The sequence below is a fragment of the Homo sapiens genome, chromosome 12 (genome assembly GCF_000001405.40).
Source record: "Homo sapiens chromosome 12, GRCh38.p14 Primary Assembly".
In the NCBI taxonomy this organism is placed as follows: domain Eukaryota; kingdom Metazoa; phylum Chordata; class Mammalia; order Primates; family Hominidae; genus Homo; species Homo sapiens.
In genome coordinates, this window is record NC_000012.12 from 62,458,981 (window position 1) to 62,476,113 (window position 17,133).

The 17,133-nt window shown below is 43.0% G+C and overlaps 1 protein-coding gene across 14 annotated transcripts in view, besides 4 other annotated features; it reads left to right on the forward strand.

Moving 5' to 3' along the window:
* Window positions 7,548-7,867: a silencer, noted in NCBI's record as "silent region_4607". NCBI's record gives its function as "represses an Ori minimal core promoter by ATAC-STARR-seq in GM12878 lymphoblastoid cells {active_cell/tissue: GM12878}" and the evidence as "EXISTENCE:reporter gene assay evidence [ECO:0000049][PMID:35858748]".
* MON2 (MON2 regulator of endosome-to-Golgi trafficking) overlaps window positions 7,846-17,133 on the forward strand; it is a 133,651-nt gene continuing 124,363 nt past the window's right edge. For 10 of the 14 annotated variants that reach the window (XM_017019044.2, XM_017019041.2, XM_017019042.2 and 7 more), the window contains exon 1: window positions 7,846-8,338. Coding sequence is in view for 9 of the 14 variants with exons in the window: in XM_017019041.2 (XP_016874530.1) it covers window positions 8,228-8,338 (111 nt within the window). In the remaining 5 variants the exon portion in view is untranslated. Of the gene's footprint in view, window positions 8,339-11,720; window positions 11,799-17,133 lie in introns of all 14 variants that reach the window. The other 4 variants (XM_017019045.2, XM_047428542.1, XM_017019043.2 and 1 more) reach the window with 1 other exon arrangement.
* Window positions 7,898-8,007: an enhancer, noted in NCBI's record as "active region_6581". NCBI's record gives its function as "activates an Ori minimal core promoter by ATAC-STARR-seq in GM12878 lymphoblastoid cells {active_cell/tissue: GM12878}" and the evidence as "EXISTENCE:reporter gene assay evidence [ECO:0000049][PMID:35858748]".
* Window positions 8,003-8,502: an enhancer, noted in NCBI's record as "H3K27ac hESC enhancer chr12:62860763-62861262 (GRCh37/hg19 assembly coordinates)". NCBI's record gives its function as "activates a minimal SCP1, AML or CMV promoter by ChIP-STARR-seq in naive H9 embryonic stem cells {active_cell/tissue: H9 hESC(naive)}" and the evidence as "EXISTENCE:reporter gene assay evidence [ECO:0000049][PMID:30033119]".
* Window positions 10,171-10,671: an enhancer, noted in NCBI's record as "H3K4me1 hESC enhancer chr12:62862931-62863431 (GRCh37/hg19 assembly coordinates)". NCBI's record gives its function as "activates a minimal SCP1, AML or CMV promoter by ChIP-STARR-seq in primed H9 embryonic stem cells {active_cell/tissue: H9 hESC(primed)}" and the evidence as "EXISTENCE:reporter gene assay evidence [ECO:0000049][PMID:30033119]".

Below are 17,133 nucleotides of genomic sequence, written 5' to 3' on the forward strand. Positions count from 1 at the left end.
TTTCTCTGTACCTTCGCTCCTCTGTGATCAAGAACAAGAATCCGTGTAACTGAAACAACTGTTTTAGTCTGTGTGTGTGTACACACACACAAACACACACCAGTTGCCAGGAATATAGCTATGAGTAACACAAGGGCCTTTCCACTGAAGAACTCGTAGTGTAGCAGGGAGACAGACAATGTTACAATTAAATAGAATATGTGTTATCATATAGGGATATGTACTGAGTAGTGCTATGACAAACCTAAAGTTCTTTCTTTCTAAACAAATAACCAATCTGAAAGGAAGGTTCCAATCAAGATGTTCAGAAAATAGGCCAGGCACGGTGGCTCATGCCTGTAATCCCAGCACTCTGGGAGGCTGAGGTGGGCGGAGCACCTGAGGTTGGGAGTTCAAGACCAGCCTGACCAATATGGAGAAACCCTGTCTCTACTAAAAATACAAAATTAGCCGGGCGTGGTGGCACATGCCCGTAATCCCAGCTACTAGGGAGGCTGAAGCAGGAGAATTGCTTGAACCTGGGAGGCGGAGGTTGCGGTGAGCTGAGATCACGCCATTGCACTCCAGCCTGTGCATCAAGGGTGAAACAACGTCTCAAAAAAAAAAAAGATGTTCAGAAAATAGATTAAGGAAAGAGACAGGCCTCTAACTTTATCAGATCTTCCCCTCCCTCCCTTTTTTTTTTTTTTTTTTTTTGAAACAGGGTTTCATTTTGTTGCCCAGGCTAGAGTGTAGTGATATGATCATGGCTCATTGTTTTACCAGTAAAAGCTGTCCAGGTTCTTGGCATCTTGAACAAAGAATTGGACAAAATGCACAAACGAAACCAGAAAAGCAAAAGCAGGGATTTATTGAGAAGGAAAGTACACTCCACAGTGTGGGAGTGGGCTGGAGCATAGGCTCAAGAGCCCCGCTTACAGAATTTTCTGGGGTTTCAATACTCTAGAGGTTTCCCATTGGTACTTGGCGAATATTCTACGTAAATGAAGAGAATGAAGTGAAGTCACAGAGTCATTTACTCAGAATGTGCCCTATTGTAAATGGAGAGGGTGTTTATTTGGTGTGTGTGATCTATGTAAATGCCTGAACCAAGTTAGTGATAGTGGAGAAAAGTGGGATGGATTTGAAAGTTATGAAGGAGGAAGAATCAACAGAACTTGATTCAGCATAGATGTAATGGATGAGGGAGAAGGAAGAGTCAAGTTTGACTCTTAGTTTCTTGATATGGGCAACCAGATGGATGGTGATGCTTTTCATTGAGAAAGGTAATGTATGAAGAGGATCAACTCCTTTTTGGGGAGGAATATGAGGTGTCAATGAGACTTAAAGGTAAAGATGTCCAATAACCAGTTGAATATTCATGTCTGGATCTCAGACAAGAGCTCTGTAATTATAAGTGTGTATAAGGGCTTGACATTGTGTCCAGAATTGGTAGGTTCTTGGTCTCACTGACTTCAAGAATGAAGCCGCGGACCCTCGCAGTGAGTGTTACAGTTCTTAAAGGCGGTGTGTCCGGAGTTTGTTCCTTCTGATGTTCGGATGTGTTCGGAGTTTCTTCCTTCTGGTGGGTTCGTGGTCTCGCTGGCTTCAGGAGTGAAGCCGTAGACCTTCGCTGTGAGTGTTACAGCTCTTAAGGTGGCGCGTCTGGAGTTGTTCGTTCCTCCCGGTGGGTTCGTGGTCTGGCTGGCTTCAGGAGTGAAGCTGCAGACCTTCACGGTGAGTGTTACAGCTTATAAAGGCAGTGTGGACCCAAAGAGTGAGCAGCAGCAAGATTTATTGCAAAGAGCAAAAGAACAAAGCTTCCACAGTGTGGAAGGGGACCCCAGCGGGTTGCCACTGCTGGCTTGGACAGCCTGCTTTTATTCTCTTATCTGGCCCCACCCACATCCTGCTGATTGTTCCATTTTACAGAGAGCCGAGTGGTCTGTTTTAATAGGGTGCTGATTGGTGCGCTTACAATCCCTGAGCTAGACACAAAGGTTCTCTATGTCCCCACTAGATTAGCTAGATACAGAGTGTCAACATAAAGGTTCTCCAAGTTCCCACCGGAGTGGCTAGATACAGGGTGTTGATTGGTGCATTCACAAACCCTGAGCTAGACACAGGGTGCTGATTGGTGTGTTTACAAACCTTGAGCTAGATACAGAGTGCCAGTTGGTGTATTTACAATCCCCTAGCTAGACATAAAGGTTCTCCAAGTCCTCACCAGACTCAGAAGCCCAGCTGGCTTCACCCAGTGGATCTCGCACCAGGGCCGCAGGTGGAGCTGCCTGCTAGTCCCGCGTGTGCGCCGGCACTCCTCAGCCCTTGGGTGGTCGATGGGACTGGGCGCAGTGGAGCAGGGGGCGGTGCTCGTTGGGGAGGCTCAGGCTGCACAGGAGCCCACGGTGGGGTGGGGCGAGGCTCAGGCATGGCGGGCTGCAGGTCCTGAGCCCTGCCCCGTGGGGAGGCAGCTAAGGCCCGGCAAGAAGTCGAGCACAGCAGCTGCTGGCCCAGGTGCTAAGCCCCTCACTGGCCAGGGCCGGCAGGGCCGGCTAGCGGCTCCCAGTGTGGGGCCCACCGAGCCCATGCCCACCCGGAATTCCAGCTGGCCCGCAAGTGCCACACGCAGCCCTGGTTCCAGCTCACGCCTCTCCCTCCACACCTCCCTGCAAGCTGAGGGAGCCGGGTCCGACCTCGGCCAGCCCAGAAAGAGGCTCCCACCGATCAGCGGCGGGCTGAAGGGCTCCTCAAGTGCTGCCAAAGTGGGAGCCCAGGCAGAGGAGGCGCTGAGAGTCAGCGAGGGCTGTGAGGGCTGCCAGCACACTGACACCTCTCAACATCATAGCTTTCAGAGATATTAAGACTACAGTTTCATGTTTTATTCTCACCATACTAAATTCAGGAATACACTAAACTAGACTGTGTTAGCCTAGGAAAGCTTAGAATAAATAATTTGTTCATATCTGAATATCCTCTAAACTGTATCCTAGCTATCATATTGTGTATTGTATTACTCTGTGATTGATCATCTACCATGTCTAGGTGAAGTGGTCTCTAGGGAAGGGGCTATGTATAGGACTAGTCCAGCTTTATGTATATAAGGCTAGGACTGGAAGAGAAAGTTAAGTTTCCAGAAGGTCTGATGTTATGCATTCCAGAAGGTCTGAGTATTTGGAAGGCTTAGAAACTTGCACTTTCATCTCTTGGCTGATATTGCAACTAATTCCTTTATGTATCCTTTAGATAAAGTAAACCCAAGTGGTGTCTGTGTGGTGGTATTTCTGCTAATCTGCACCTTCTATTGATATGTATCAACACGGAGGTTATACAGGGTGATATCAATAGATTGGCAGTAATTGAAGCCATTGGTGTGCAAAGGATCAAAGAGAATAAAGAAGACAAGCAAGTGAGGGTGGGGAAGACAGCAGAGAATAGAATTCTGGGAAACACTAATAATTGAGGAGTAGGTGAAAGAAAAGTCTAAGAGGAGAATAAGTAAATGTGATAAAATCAGAGGGACTGAACAACTAGAAAGGTAGATTGAATAATATTTGTATTTCATCATTAAACTAAGATATTTCAGAATGACATTAGACAAATTTTCTTATTACATGTAAATATATACTCATTGTTAAATAGATATATTTTCTAAAAGATTCATAACAAGGGCTCAGAAAAAGACATGGATTTCCTAATTTTCAACTAGAAGGTTAAACACTAGGACAAAACTCACTGATAATTCTGTTAGAAGTTAATACAAGATGGCATTAGTGATGACTACAAATTTAAGAGTTCTCTTTTCTACCACCTATTTAAAACGTTTACTCAAAGCTAATGTGTGCCAGGCATGCTTTACCTACAATATTTCATTTAACCTCACAACTATCCCATGAAGAAGGCACTTTTGTTTTCTTCTTTTAAAGCTATGGAGAGGTTAAGTAGTAAAGATTGGTGAAGATTAGAAAGGCTAAATGTTGCGGGAAGTCAGGGACCCTGAATGGAGGGACCAGCTGGAGCCATGGCAGAGGACCATAATTGTGAAGATTTTATGGACATTTACCAGTTCCCAAATAATACTTTCATAATTTCTTACACCTGTCTTACTTTAATCTCTTAATCCTGTTATCTTCGTAAGCTGAGGATGTATGTCACCTCAGGCCACTATGATAATTGTGTTAACTGTACAAATTGATTGTAAAACATGTGCATTTGAACAATATGAAATCAGTGCACCTTGAAAAAGAACAGAATAACAGCGATTTTAGGGAACAACAGAAGACAACCATAAGGTCTGACTGCCTGTGGGGTCGGGCAAAAAGAGCCATATTTTTCTTCTTGCAGGGAGCCTATAAACGAACGTGCAAGTAGGGAAGATATTGCTAAATTATTTTCCTAGCAAGGAATATTAATATTAATACTCTAGGAAAAGAATTGCATTCACTGGGGGAGGTCTATAAACAGCTGCTCTGGGAGTATCTGTCTTATGCGGTTGAGATAAGGACTGAAATACGCCCTGGTCTCCTGCAGTACCCTCAGGCTTACTAGGGTGGGGAAAAACCCCACCCTGGTAAATTTGAGGTCAGACTGGTTCTCTGCTCTCGAACCCTGTTTTCTGTTAAGATGTTTACCAAGACAATACGTACACCACTGAACACAGACCCTTATCAGGAGTTTCTGATTTTGCCCTGGTCCTGTTTCCTCAGAAGCATGTGATCTTTGTTCTCCTTTTTGCCCTTTGAAGCATGTGATCTTTGTGACCTACTCCCCGTTTGTACACCCCCTCCCCTTTTGAAACCCTTAATAAAAACCTGCTGGTTCTAAGGCTCAGGTGGGCATCATGGTCCTACGGATATATGATTCCAGCCCCAGAGACCCAGCTGTAAAATTCCTCTCTTTGTACTCTTTCTCTATTTCTCAGCCGGCCGACACTTATAGAAATAGAAAGAACCTACACTGAAATATTGGGGGTGGGTTCCCCCGATAGTTAAATAATGTGCTAGAGTCACCCAGGTAGTAACCAGCAGAACTCAGATTCAAACTAGAGCTTTCCAACTTCAGAGTCTGAAGCCTAACTACCATGTAACAATGCTGTGAAAGCATTACTTATGGTAATAAATGGTTAAATTTATCAGGCATTTATTAATGTAATTTTCAATGAAGAGAGATTTGGTAGCCACGGAGGAGTTTTATACCCACACCGACATTTATAGGTATGCTACAATTTTGAAAGTATTTCTTGAGATACTTGAGAACAAAAATATGTATTTGAATATTTGGTTTTGCTATTGAAAGAGAAATTATTCAGTTTTTTGAAATGCTAACTCTTAACTTTAGCTGATTTGTTAACTTGTAGAATAAAAAATTATTTTTACCTTTGGTAACTTGCTTGGCTTTGGCATAAAGCCATGCATTGTTTCTGGGGCAGTATAATCTCTCTTGGCATATGTACATAAAAGGCTATTGTGTATTTTTTTAAAAGAAATTTACAGAATACTTGATATAAGTACTTGCTACACATTATTATTTTATTTTATTATTTTTTTTTTTGAGACAGAGTCTCACTCCCTCGCCCAGGCTGGAGTGCAGTGGTGTCATCCCCGTTCACTGCAACCTCTGTCTCCTGGGTTCAAGCAATTCTTCTGTCTCAGCCTCCCAAGTAGCTGGGACTACAGGTGCCTGTGACCACGCCTGGCTAATTTTTGTATTTTTAGTAGAGACGGGGTTCCGCCTTGTTGGTCAGGTTGGTCTCCAACGCCTGACCTCAGGTGAGCCACCCGCCTCGGCCTCCCAAATTGTTGGGATTATGGGTGTGAGCCACCGCACCCAGGTGCTACACCTTACTTTTAAAATTTGGCTTTTCAAATCATTAGAAGTATTGTTTTCAATCAATGAATTCCAATTGCATGTCCTCAACTCTGAACAGAGATGTAAAAGATTCTAACGATTTTGAGTTAATCATGCCAAAGTTACCAATAGTAAAAAATCCAAAAGAAAAGTTGGCTACATAGTGAAAGTCAGAGAATTTGATCCTATATCACTAGCCCAATTACTAAAGCATCATTTTTGGCCAGGTGTGGTGGCTCATGCCTGTAATCCCAGCACTTCGGGAGGTCGAGGTGGGTGGATCACTTGTACTCTGGAGTTCCAGATCAGCCTGGCCAACATGCTGAAACCCCATCTCTACTAAAAAGAACAACAAACAAACAAACAAAAAGGCCTGCGGTGTGGCTCACGCCTTTGTAATCCTAGCACTTTGGGAGGCCAAGGCAGGTGGATTGCCTGAGCTCAGTAGTTGGAGACCAGCCTGGGCAACACAGTGAAACCCCATCTCTACTAAAATACAAAAAATTAGCCGGGCGTGGCAGCCTACGCCTGTAGTCCCAGCTACTCGGGAGGCTGAGACAGGAGAATTGCTTGACCCTGGGAGGTGGAGGTTGCAGTGAGTGGAGATCGCGCCACTGCACTCCAGCCTGAGTGACAGAGTGAGACTCCGTCTCCACCCCCCACCCAAAAAAAGCGCCTCGTTTTTACAAGCTCCCTGAGACCTCAAGAATAATGTCTGCCATATATTCCATTTGAACTTTTTTGCTAAATTCACCAGTTTTCATACATAAAGCTTATACCATAGGAGGTGTCAAGTTTCCCAGAAGTTGTGTAATAGGCACAAATGATCAAAATTACTGCCCTAGGAGCTCTCTACTATTACCTCATCTGTCCCCTTTATCCATCCTTGCTTTGCTTCTTATCAGAAGGAAAAATAAAATAAAATTATTTAGCTTACAAAGTAGCTCTGTTACAGCCAAACAGCGCTATCCACTGACAATCTCATGGCTCACTGTCTTCCATCATGTCATAAGCTCAGCTGTCTGAAGGTGTTGGTTTCTTCATCTCTACTGTTTCTGGTTTTTCCTCCCTCATTTTCTGCTTTCTGACCAGCAGCTGCAAAATGTCTTGGGGAAAAAGTAGACCAACCTGGATCTTGGGGAAATACAGATGAAGATTTTTCTGTTTGGCTTTTGCCTCATATTTATTTGGCACTTCAGACCTGATGAAGGCTTTTATGTATCTGTGCCTTATTTGAGCCTCGAAACTCTGATTTTATAATAGAAGGGTATTCATTCAACAAGTATGTACTGATTACCTGCTATATGCCAGACACTGTTCTAGGTGCTGGAGATACACAGGAAACAAAATAAGATTTAAAAAGAGGAAGAACCGGCAGCCCAACTCGCGAAACTCTCCTTTTAGCTGGGAGCATCTGCCAGTAAAGGGGCCGGGACAGATCTCGTAGCGCCTGGTAGGTGATTGGAGGAATTTTGGCTTTTACTTTGAGTGAGATGGGAGGCCAGCGGAATGCGTGGAGCAGAGGGTAGTCTCATTTTAGAGATTAGGAAAATAAGAGGCTACCCCACAGTAAGTGCACCAGTTGCGTTTAAAGAAAAAAAATGTATATTAACAGGAGGTAGCCACTGATTTGGGGCCACTAGTCCAGAGATTCGAAATGAAGCGGGAGGAGACACGTTAAGATTAATCTACAGGGAAACAAATTATTTACACCGAAATACAATTTAACACAAACATACGCAAAGAGATATGCCAAGGAGTACTCGGGGGCTCTGTTCAGGCACTTGTTAATGAAAACGAAGCGAATCTTGACGCCTTAAACCCTGTCTAGCCTACTTGATTCCGGGGGTGGGGCTGTGGGAATCGCTGCCCACCCGGAATCCCGCCTGCCCCGAGCATGGCCAAGCCCCAGCCCCGCCCCGCCGACGGCCTGCCGCCGGGGTTGGCCGCGGCGGTGGCGGAGGCCACGGTACCCGGAAGTGCGGCTGACGTGTCCCGGCAGCGCTCGGAATTGTGGGCGACTCGGCTAATGGCGTCGGCGAGTCTTAGGGGCCTGGGGAGCTGGCGCTGAAGCTTCTTGCCAGGTTGGCTGGTGACACCCGGTGTGGCTGGGCCCCGCGGCAGCGGAGGGACCTGCCCGCCTTGTGGGTTTCTCGGCCAGAGTCGGCGGAGCCTAGCGGGACGGTGCGACTGCGGGGGGCGCCTCCGAGAAAAGCCAGAGGTGTTGCGGGGAAGCTGCTGGGGGACGCTCGAGCAGGCTCCGGGTTCGCAGCCCAGGGCCCAAGAAGCGGGCTGCTGAAGGACCAGAGACACCGGGAGGGAGCTGCCTGTGGCCCTAAGGAGCTGACCGTGCCAGAGCTTGTTTGTACCTCTCGGAAATTGGCTGGGACCTTGGAGGATCATGTCCGGCACCAGCAGCCCCGAGGCGGTGAAGAAGCTGCTGGAGAATATGCAGAGCGACTTGCGCGCCTTGTCACTGGAGTGCAAGAAGAAATTCCCACCTGTCAAAGAGGTAAGCTTCAGGTGACGTCAGGAGAAGGCACTGTGAGCATGCCTGGTCCTGTTAGACTCAGTGCTTCACCCCAGTTTCCAGTCCTAATTTTCATTCAGGCCTCACCTTTCCAGATTTGTGAGTCGGTGGGTTGTTCCACAAGGGCTTTTTATAGTTTCCACTGGAGAGGGCTGAGGCACTTTGATTTTCTCCCCTCTCCTGTCCTCCCAGTTTAGGAGTGAAGTTCATGAAGTGAGCCTATTCAGTTAATCCAGCTAGGTGTACTGTGCACTAGCCTATTCTGGCCTTTTTCTTACTTGAAACTGGCCAAACCAAAATTGAAAAACTTGTTTGTTGCTCCCCGAAACGAGTATCCACCCATCTTGTTGAAACCTGTACTCCTCACGTTTATGGCATATCACTGAATTGGAAACAATTTTCCTTCTGGTATATATCATTCAGCTTAACTCTGTATCAATCCTTTGACGTGTTAATAAACTATCCAGAGCCACCTAATTTATGAAGAATATTGAAGATCCACATAATCATGTTAAACCTTGTTATGAGCAGTACTGTAGTGGGAAGTTGGGCTTGCAGTCAGAGCGAATACACCTGAATTTAGTTCCAGCAATAAATCTTAACCTCTTTGAGCTTCGGGTTTTTTTTTCCAGCTGTAAAATAGGGTTAAAGGATGGTTTTATATTATGTATGGGAAAGATGTCAGAGCAGAAGGGTATTATTAAAGAGATCCCAGTAAATAATACATGGAAATTTAATTCTCCAAATAGTTCTTGAGGTGAAATATTTAACATTTGGTTACTATTTGCTTTTTCTCTTAAAATGCCATTTTAATTCTCTAAAAAAAAAAAACAAACAAAAAAACCCACCAAAAACAGGCCCGGCTAATTTTGTATTTTTAGTAGAAACAGGGTTTCTCCATGTTGGTCAGGCGGGTCTCGAACTCCCGACTTCAGATGATCCCCCTGCCTCGGCCTCCCAAAGTGCTGGGATTACAGGCGTGAGCCACAGCGCCCGGCTGTTTTTATTTTTATTCCTATTTAATGTAGTTTGTTTTACCTGCAATTTCATTTACTCTTTGCCCTAAAAATTCACCGAGGGATTTCATATTTACATACTTATTTAAATATATCTTTATTATTATGAAGATTATGTAATTAGAACTTGACCAATAAATTTTGGATTTTAGGCTTGTAAGGAATATTGACTTTTCTGTAAGTGCATTGGTTTTATCAGTTTTCAACAAACTCCATCTTGTATTTCTTTAATAAAGTATTACCCAGTGATGGAAACCAGATGTGCCACTTTTGGAAAGATGGCTGTTACGATATGTTTTATTTCACATAGTCAATAGTCTGTTTTGATATTGATTTTCATTTTTTTTATATCCTCTGTTGAAAGTTATAACAAGTAAATCTAAAGAATTAGGCTGTTTTAGAGAATTTTAAAGAATTAAGTTGTTTTAATTATAAGAGAAATGCTCTCATTTAGAAAATATCAAACACTATTTTGTAATTTCAACAATAATTTGTAGAACTGACTTCGCAGTTCTAATAATTCATACAAAAACTGTGGTTCCTCTATAGGCTGTTGTGGTCTAGCTTGGGAATTTAATTGCCATTTATTACATTTTTTTGTTTTGTTTTTTGATTTTGGAAATGGGGTCTCTGTGGCCCAGGCTGGAGTGCAGTGGTGCGATCTGCAACCTCGAACTCCCTGGCTCAGGTGATTCTCCCACCTCAGCCCCCTGAGTTGCAGCGACTACAAGTGCATACCACCACGACAGGCTAATTTTTCGCCTTTTTTTTTTTTTTTTTTGTAGAGACGGGGTTTTGGCAGGCTGGTCTCCTGAACTGGGTTCAAGCGATCTGCCCACCTCTGGCTCCCAAAGTGCTGGGATTACAGGTGTGAACCACCATGCCCAGCCAGAAGCTGCTGGAGGATCCCTTGAGCCCAGGCGGTCAAGGCTGCAGTGAGTGGTGATTGTGCCACTGTACTCCAGCCTGGGAGACAGAAGGAGACCCTGTCTCAAAACAAACTAACAAAAAAGCTTATTGGTTTTTACTTGAACACTGGCTAGAGAGATATTTTGTAATTGCACCTAGTCTTTGAGATAATAGCAAAAGTAATTCTTGTGATTATCTCTGATGCATAATTTTGTATATGGTACGTGTTTATAAGAATTTGTTGAATGAAAGCTTTTTGATTTCTTACCCAATGACACTGGGCACTACTTTAGGAATTGAAAAATGATCTTGACTGTGTCATAGGTTTAAAACAAAGAGAGTCATTAGCCTAATTATGATGAAGTTTTAGGACAAAGGTTTGACTTTCAAGAAATAGTTTGGCTGAATTAAATTTTCTCTGTTAAATTAATAAGAGTGCCAGATTTTGGCTTTTGTTCTTCAAGAAACTGGTAGGATTTTGGTTTTATTTTTCTCTTTGGTTGCCAACTAAACTTTAAGGCAAAGTCTAAGAAGCTAGTTAACAGAGACATTTTATATTTAGTCTTTATTTCAAATTTTTAGTCATTTCTGTCTTTTATGGCCATAGTGCTTGACTATTATTTTATTTATTTATTTATTTATTTATTTATTTATTTATTTATTTGAGACAGGATCTCTTTCACCTAGGCTGGAAGTGCAGTGGCAGGATCTTGGCTCACTGCAGCGTTGACATCCTGGGTTCAAGTGATTCTCCCACCTCAACCCCCTGAGTAGCTGGGACTACAGGTGCATGCCACCACACGCAGCTGATTTTTGTATTTTTTTTGTAGAGACAGGGTCTCACCATGTTGCCGAGGCTTGTCTCCAACTCCTGCGATTAGGCAATCTGTCCACCTCCTACTCCCAAAGTGCTAGGATTATAGGCGTATCCCAGGCTGCCCATGTAATTCTTTTTTAAAATTAATAATAAGCTGGATTTAAAGATTTCAAATCTGTTAGAAAAACCAATAAAAGAGTATTGATAAAGAATAGTGCTTTATTTACTGATATTTACTTACTGTCTTTGGACTTCTACATGGTTTTTCCTACCTTACTGTTTTCATTTATAACTCTATCCTTTGTATATTAAATTGTTGTTGTAGTGGCTATGGCTTTATTCTGTCATTTTATAATAACCTCTTTCTCTTTTTTTCTATTTTTCTTAGTTGTTATACATAAATCTTCATGTTTTAGCAGTATAACTTTTTTTAGTACAACTGTACTAGCTAATTTGGGAATATTGTATGAAATTTTTTCCTTTGTTTTAAAAATTACTTTGAAGCCTTCCATGATCACTTCTATGTGATTAATATTCAGTGGCCTTTAGAGGAAGACAACTCTGAAGCTTTATGTTTATGTATTTCATGAATAAAAACTTTCTTATTATTTCCTATTTGCAGGTACAGATGAGGGGTATCTAACTGAGCCTGGAAGTTGGAGGAGGGGAGTCATTCCTAGCAGAGGAAATAGCACACGTTGTTAGTATTCCATGTAAAATAAATTTTATACTGAAGATGATTGGAGCCATTAGAGCTTTTTGAAAGAGAGTAATATGATCAAATTGATATTTAGTAACATTGCCTTGACAGTTGGTAGGAAGAATTAGAGGGTATTGAGACTGAAGCAAAGAGAGCAAAGTTTAAAAAATGATGATTCTCTGTTTTGAAGCAGTAGTGGACATAGACAGAAGGTTGCTTGCATTGAGTTAGACAGTAGTGAAAGAGCGTATAGATTGAAAAGGTAAAAATTACCAAGGCATGGTAATCTTTTATATAATGGAGAGAGAGAAATGTGTGATGCCTCCCAGGTTTCTGGCTTGGGAAACTAGGTGGATCACTAAGAGAAGAAATAAAAGAGGAGGAAATGTTTTGGGGGAAAATGAGTAGTCATGTGTGTATATTGTTTGAGACGGAGTCTCTGTTGCCAGGCTGGAGTACAGTGGCACAATCTCGGCTCACTGCAACCTCCGCCTCCCAGGTTCAAGTGATTTTCCCGCCTCAGCCTCCTGAGTACCTGGGATCACAGGCGCGTGCCACCACACCTGGCTAATTTTTTGTATTTTTAATAGAGACGGGGTTTCACCATGTTGGCCAGCCTAGTCTCGAACTCCTGACCTAAGGTGATCTGCCCGCCTCGGCCTCCCAAAGTACTGAGATAGCAGGCGTGAGCCACCACACCCAGCAGAGTAGTCATTATATTAAGATTTATGTGTGACATCCAAGTGGAACTGACCAGTAGGTGTTTGAAAATGATGGTTTGGCACTTAAGAGGGAAGTCTGGAATTTCAAATTTAGGAGTATCAGTTTATAAATAATATTTGAAACCATAGAATTGGATGAAATGGGCCAGGAAGAGTGTGTGTATAGAGTGAGAATATCAGGACTGGAAAAGGAACTGTGGGAAACAACATTAAAGAAAAAGGCTGCTGGGCAGACTGAGGTTAAAGATACAGGAGAGAAAGGTAAAACTCGTTAGAGGAAGGTCCTTGAGAAAACTGAAGTTTCAGTGGCATAAGTATATGAACAGGATTTCAATCTGAGAAAGGACACATTACCTTCTGACAGAGGAAGGACAAAGGAAAAACCGGGTTTGAATGTGACAAATTTGACAGAAGGGAGCGACAAGTTGTGGGCAGTTTGGTCTGTGGCCTCTGCTTTCTTGCGAAGATAAGAAACAAGCTTGTTAGTAGGAATAATTAAGTGATAAAAGAAGTAGGGGGTGGCAAGTTTGAGGAGAGCAGTGGATCACTTTGGAGAAGTGGAGGAGAAATTGTCTTGGAACACTTAAGAGTCTTAGCAGGAAGAGTGGTTGAAATAATGGTGGATTGTGAGAGCTAGGTTGGATTCCCAAAGAAGGAAAGCCAATAGTTTGGATTGACTGGATGATGATGGGAAGGTTAAAGGCTAGCAGCACCTATTTCATCAAAGAGCAGTGGGGTTGGGGAGTGAGAGAGCTAGAAGGATAGGAGTTGGGACAATGGTGGGAATATTGCATTTCAGATTGCCCAGCACTAGAGGATGATGAAGTCCAGGGAATGGGTGGTAGAAGAGTAAAGGGAAAGAAGTTCATTTGAGTTTAGGTGGTCAGAATTAGGGAATTGGATAGATTCCTTTTCTCTCTTTTTAAATGATGCAGAATCAGTAAGGGTATAAATAATTTAAAAGTGCAAGTAGTCTTCCTAGGCTATGTAGTTTAAGTTTCCTGTTACCCATTCAGGCCTAATAGAAATTGGCTGGCAGAGAAAAGCAAAGGTTTCTTGTGATAGAGTTCCTCAGTATCCAGGTGTTTTGCTTTGTTAACTGGCTTAGGGAGACCCCTAGTGAAAGAGATGCCTTCTACTTACTGTGACAGGATTTGCCATTTAATCAGATATTTAGGGACTGTGACTAATGTCATTGGCTCTCCTGGTTGGGTTAACACCTCATTTGCACGACCTTATGACATTGAAGATGAGGGCTGGATAATCTTTACGAGCTTACTTGGGATCTGTTTTGGTTTAGTATTTTATAATGTGGTTTCTTCCTCTTGACATTGTGTTCTTTCTCCCATAAGCGTAATATAATATATTCATGCTTTATATATTGAAAGCTATAAACTGAAATAAATGATTACCTGTGCTTTGGTGACAGAAAAAATAAAAGACATATTCTCTAACTTATAAGCCAAAAAGGAAGACATATTTCAAAATTTGATTTATTTTTCTTTTTTCCTTTATGTAAGCATAGCTGAACATTTTCAACCATGTATGAAGTAGAAGGTTTTGCTGTTACTGTTATAATTTAACAGAAATTTATGAGTCTCCTAAAAAAGCACAGCAGGAACACAGAAATAATTGAGAAATTGCCTTTAGTCTCATGAAGTTAACTCAAGGTTGAATAAAATGTTGCCTTCCCACTAGGCTTGGAACTTTGCATCCTTAGACTCTAATGCAACATGCCATATTAAATATTTCATTTTACAGATGAGGAAACTGGTATAGACAGGTTTAGTAATTTGCATAAGGTAGTAAAGCTGGAAAATGGTGGAAATGGTGGAAATGGTATGTGAGTCCATGTGAGTCCATCTCTAACTCCTCTCCCATTTTCCATTATATCATGCTGCACATGCCTTTACAACTTTCTTGTTTTTGTTATTGTTCCCATTTGTTTACCTTGCTTCATTATTTGTTACTATTGGTTATTCTTTCCATCTTGGAACCCTCTAGTTTTGAGTTTTGTAAGACTGTACTTCCCTGTTTCCCCTCTCAGTATTCCACATCCTTTTCTTTTTCTTTTTGTTTCTATTTTTTGAGACAGGGTCTTACTCTGTCACCCTGGTTGGAGTGCAGTGGGCTATCTTGGCTCACTGCAGCCTCTGTCTCCCAGGCTCAAATGATCCTCCCACCTCAGCCTCCTGAGTAGCTGGGACTGTAGGCAGATGCCACCACGGCTGGCAAATTTTTGTATTTTTTCATAGTGACAGGGTTTTGCCATGTTGCCTGGGCTGGTCGCAAACCCCTGAGCTCAAGCAATCCACCTGCCTCAGCCTCCCAAAGTGCTGGGATTACAGACCCGAGCCACTGTGCCCGGCCATCCTTTTCTTTACATACAAGTGTCTCCCAGGTTCTCTCTTCAGATCCTTCCTTTCTCCATGCTCACCTGCTTGGCATCATCCACTCCTATTGCCTCTGGACTTGCTGCGATGCTGATGACTCTTAAATCTACTTCAGTCATTTGCTCTCTTTACTGAGTGTAGATCTGCATTTCCAGCTGCACATCAAACACATCTAGGACGTTTTTTCACATGCGTCAGTAGAACTTCTTCTTTTTCTTTTCTTTTCTTTTTTTTTTTTTTCTGAGACAAAGTCTCGCTCTTGTCCCCCAGGCTTAAGTGCAATGGTGCGATCTCAGCTCACTGCAACCTCCGCCTCCCAGGTTCAAGCGATTCTCCTGCCTCAGCCTCCTGAGTAGCTGGGATTACAGGCGCCTGCCACCACGCCCAGCTAATTTTTGTATTTTCAGTAGAGATGGGTTTCACCATGTTGGCCAGGCTGGTCTCGAACTCCTGACCTCAGGTGATCCGCCCGCCTCGGCCTCCCAAAGTGTTGGGGTTACAGGTGTGAGCCACTGCGCCTGGCCTCTTCTTTTTCTTTTCTTTTCTTTTGAGACGAGTTTCACTCATGTTATCCAGGCTGGAGTGCAGTGGTGCAATCTCGGCTCACCGCAACTTCTGCCTCCCGGGTTCGAGTGATTCTCTTGCCTCAGCTTCCTGAGTAGCTGGGATTACAGATGCCCATCACCATGTCTGGCTAATTTTGTATATTTAGTAGAGACGGGGTTTCTCTGTGTTGGTCAGGCTGGTCTCAAACTCCCGACCTCAGGTTATCTGCCCGCCTCGGCCTCTCAAAGTGCTAGGATTACAGGTGTGAGCCATCGCGGCCAGCCAGATAGAACTTCTTGTAATTGAACTGGTCTTTTCCTCAAAACGTCATTTTCCCCCTATTTCAGTTGTTTTGTTAATGGTATCTAGCACTGTTGCCTACTTTAGTCATATTTGGCTATCTTCTCTCCCTCATCTCTCTTTATTCACTGTCACCTGTTCCTTCCAGCTCTGTAATTTTTAGCATACTTCTCCTTTTTTCTGTTTTCTCAGCTATTATGCTAGTTCCAGATTCTATTAGTAACATTATGCCTGGCCTTTGACATACATTAATAGCATACATGACTTCAAATCATTCTGTATGTCACCCATGCAGAAGCCCACAATGTCTACTCTACTTATAGGACTCTAACATAGCATTTAATATTCTCTTGATTTTCCTAACCTTCCTTTTTAGCTTTATCACCCTCAAATCTTCTTCATATGCCTTTATGCTTCACCCCAACTAGGTTACCTGCTAGTCTCCAAATATGTCCTACTGCTTCTGTCTTTCATGTTATGGCTTCTTTGTTTTTTTGTTGTTGTTGTTATTTTTGGAGATGGAGTCTCTCACTCTTGCCCAGGCTGGAGTGTAGTGGTGTAATCTTGGCTCACTGCAACCCCCACCTCCCAGGTTCAAGTGATTCTCATGCCTCAGCCTCCAAAGTGGCTGGGATTACAGGCGCCCGCTATCATGCCCAGCTAATTTTTGTATTTTTGGTAGAATATTTTCAGTAATCTAGTAATTTAGCCTGGGTGAAAGAGTGAAACTCTATCTTTAAAAAAAAAAATTAATCTTCAACAAGTATCTAATTAGCACCTCCTAGGTATACAAATGCTTTGCACTATAGTGAATTTAGCATTTAGTAATTTAGTATTTTTAGTAATTTTGTATTTTAGTTTCACCATGTTGGCCAGGCTGGTCATGAACTCCTGACCTCATGATCTGCCCGCCTCAGCCTCCCAAAGTGCTGGGATTACAAGCGTGAGCCACCACACCCATCCTCCTTTTCTTAAAAATTTAGTCTTCAGCCGGGCACAGTGGCTCATGCCTGTAATCCCAGCACTTTGGGAGGCTGAGGCGGGCTGATAACCTGAGGTCAGGAGTTCACGACCAGCCTGGCCAATGTGGTGAAACCCCATCTCTACTAAAAATACAAAAAATTACCTGGGCATGGTGGCGGACGCCTGTAATCCCAGCTACTCGGGAGGCTGAGGCAGGAGAATCACTTGAACCCGGGAGGTGGAGGTTGCAGTGAGCCGAGATCTCGCCATTGCACTCCAGCCTGGGCAACGAGAGCTAAACTCCGTCTCAAAAAGAAAAGAAAAGGAAGGAAAAAGCATACCACCTATGTGGGAATACCATGTATATATTTTTAGTTATATACATGTAATCTGCATTCCAGTCTTTGATTT